The sequence below is a fragment of the Homo sapiens genome, chromosome 1 (genome assembly GCF_000001405.40).
Source record: "Homo sapiens chromosome 1, GRCh38.p14 Primary Assembly".
NCBI classification, from domain to species: domain Eukaryota; kingdom Metazoa; phylum Chordata; class Mammalia; order Primates; family Hominidae; genus Homo; species Homo sapiens.
In genome coordinates this window covers 101565555-101568762 of record NC_000001.11, presented here as the reverse complement: position 1 = coordinate 101568762, position 3208 = coordinate 101565555, and the positions used below count along the sequence as shown (strand labels likewise).

At 33.4% G+C, this 3208-nt stretch overlaps 1 annotated feature.

Annotated features, from left to right (window-relative positions):
- Positions 1030-1079: an enhancer, noted in NCBI's record as "active region_1411". NCBI's record gives its function as "activates an Ori minimal core promoter by ATAC-STARR-seq in GM12878 lymphoblastoid cells {active_cell/tissue: GM12878}" and the evidence as "EXISTENCE:reporter gene assay evidence [ECO:0000049][PMID:35858748]".

Here is a 3208-nt window from a genome sequence, read left to right as displayed (position 1 = left end):
CTAGAAAGGCCTCATGTATTTTGACCTAAGAAAAAATAGAAACGATGCTCTGGCTTGATAGAGCTCTCACTGAGAATGGAAGAAAGGGGATTCTATAAATATAAATATAAAGCTCACACTTTCTATTCTATAAATATAAATATAAAATATAAATATAAAGCTCACACTCAAAAGACAGTTTCCATTGTGAAAAATATTTTATTAGATCGGAAATAAAATACTAAAAAAGGAGCCAATTGGTCATTAAACAAAGTTAGGCATCCTGGATCTTCCCCCACATCATGATCCTGCTAAGCACAAGAGACCCATCATCAGCCCTAGAACTTATCTTATACATAAGTGATGCGTGGTAGTAATAAGGGCATTGGATTAAGAGTCAGAAGAGCTGGATTTTAATTCTAACTCTGCAACAAATTGGCCAGTTGACCTAAGCCAAATTATTCACTTCTCTGGGCCTCAGTTTACTCATCTGAAATAAAAATACCACTAATATCAATCTCACATGGCTATATAAATATATGTGTGGTATAAACAGAATAAACTATAACTTTGACAGTATGTTGGGATAGGCCCTCTACCATCCCAACCTCTTCCCCACGTGCTTAAAGTTTGATATTATGAAAATAAAGAAGCCTTGCATGTATAATTAGCTATAAACTTTTAAGTCATTAACTAGTAAGAAATAATATGGTGTAACTAACTGGCATCACATTTTCCCTGATGTTGTCTACTATAGCCTCTCCTCTGCGAGAGAGCCTAGATAAAGAATGTATGGACTGGACCCACCCTGAAGGAAAGAAAATTGTACACTAGACCAAAAAGAAAATATTCAAATATATTCAAATCAATCTGAAAAAAAAATGTCAAAAATCAAGCTGGGATGTAAAGCTGCCTCTAAAATTGTTCCTCCAACCTGGTACCACTTAGGTTAATTGTGCCATATCGAACATTAGTGAACCCAGTGGTGCCACTGGCACGTCCTGGCCACTAGGGGGAGGTGGCAAGCCCTACTCTGTTTTAAAAAAAAAAAATCAAGAGTCTTGTATCAAAGCCAAAGAGGTACTTATTGAAGGGAAAGAATTATTTTGATTTTCTGGAGCCATAGGAACTCCTGCCATCAAATTATTTCTCTGGGATACAGAAGAACAAGCATAGCAGTTTTATTCCTTGGAAAGAAAGATGAAACAAAATACAAACTCGAGAATTAAAAATTTGATATTTTGTGCATAACTGCCTTTAAACTTCCATTTGCAAATCAATGGATTAAAATTGCCAGAGAGAGCACCCCAATGTGCTATCTTCAGATAATTGACACATTTATTTATTTTTAAATTTGATATGCTGTAACTATTTATTGCCCTGTGTGTCAGAGGTGGGCCAGAGAACTGAATATGCCCGTGCCCTTATGTCTAGTAGTAGGGCCAGACCAATTACAGCATATGTAATAGACAAACTGACACTGCTATACTGCTTGCTTTTCTTTCTTTATGAATAAATATATGTGTATGTGTGTCTGTCATGTATCATGTATATATGTGTGTCTATGTATGTATCATATGTATGTATCATGTATATGTGTGTGTGTGTCATGTAGTCTTTTGTGTGTGTGTCTATATATACACAGTACCACCTTGAGAACTAGAATACACTGTATGCTTTAAACTGTCTGTTGGCTCCTTCCCAAACCCAATTACCTGTTTCCACCCATATTGAGTCACTACTGTGTACACTGTGTTTATCATTTTATTGCTTTTTATAAGATAGCTTTCATCACACATATGTATGCTTAACAATATATATTTTAGATTTTTTGCTCAGGAGTTTATTAAAATTACATCATTCTGTATATATTTTTAAGGTTTGTTTTTTCTTTCAACAATATGTTTCTAAGCTTCATCCATTTTCCAGATAAGTGTCATGTATTCTTTCTCACTGTTAAATAGTATTTCATGGTGGATTATACCACAGTGTATTTAATTATTATTTCCATTTCTGCTGTTATAATTGATTAATATTATTGCTACAAGCATTCTTGCTTATATCCCTTAGAATGCAGAAGCAAGAGTGTCCCAAGGGCATATACCCAGTAGAATTGCTGGATCATAGGTCGTATTCATCTTCAACTTTTAAGAAAATACTAAATTGTTTCCCAAAGTTGTGGTTCCACTTTATGCCATTACTCGTAAAGTATGAGAGTTCTCCTTACTCCACATCCTTTACCAGGATCAGCATTGTCAGACTCCTTTATTTTGTTTTGTCAGTTAAATGGTTGTAAATAGTTCCCTGTTGAAGTCATAATTTGCATAAAGAGGTTGAACTTCTTTTCAAACGTTAATCATGTTTATTTCTTCCATGAAATAACTGTGCACATCCTTTGTTCAGTTTTCAATTGAATTGTTCTTTATTTTCTTTGCAGATTTCTTTTAGATTCTAATCTTTAGTTTGTCTTAGGTGTTGAAAATATCTTCTCTGAGATTTTGGTTTGTCCTTTTCGCCTTTGTTTTGGTTTCTTTTTATGTTAGAGGATCTTTTAATATAATAATGCTATCAACCATTTCTTGTAAGATTATTGCTATTTGTATCATATTTAAAATAGTCTCCTATTTTTATTCTAATATTTTTCTAAGTTTGCCTTTCACATTAATGCCTTTTATCAATTTAGAATTCATTTTCAGGTAGAAAGTAAGGTAGGGATTAAAGTTTTCTCATATGTTAACCAGTTGTCCCAGCATCATTTCTAATGATCTACATTGCCCTTCTCTCTACTTTTTTGTTACAATTTTAACTATTTCATCTTGATATGTAAAAATGCAATTGCATTATTGAAGTGGATTTTATGTATAGCCACCTAAACTCTCTTGTTAATCCTAATATATTATCTGTGGATATTTTGGGGGTTTCTATGTAGATAAGCCTATCATCTCTGTAATTAATTTTGTGTATTCTTTTCTCTGGTAGGCTGAATAACAGCCTCTCAAAGATACCAAAATGCACATTCCTAGAACCTGTTAATTTGTTACCTTACATAATGAAAGGGATTTTGCAGATATGGTTTAGTTAAAAATCTTGAGAAGAAAAGAGCATCCTGAATTATCCAGATGGACCCAAAGTAATCACAAGTATCTTTATAAGAGGGAAGCAGAAAGAGATTTGATTACAATAGTAGGAGATGAGATGAAAAAAGCAAGAGACTGTAGTGATTCAAGAA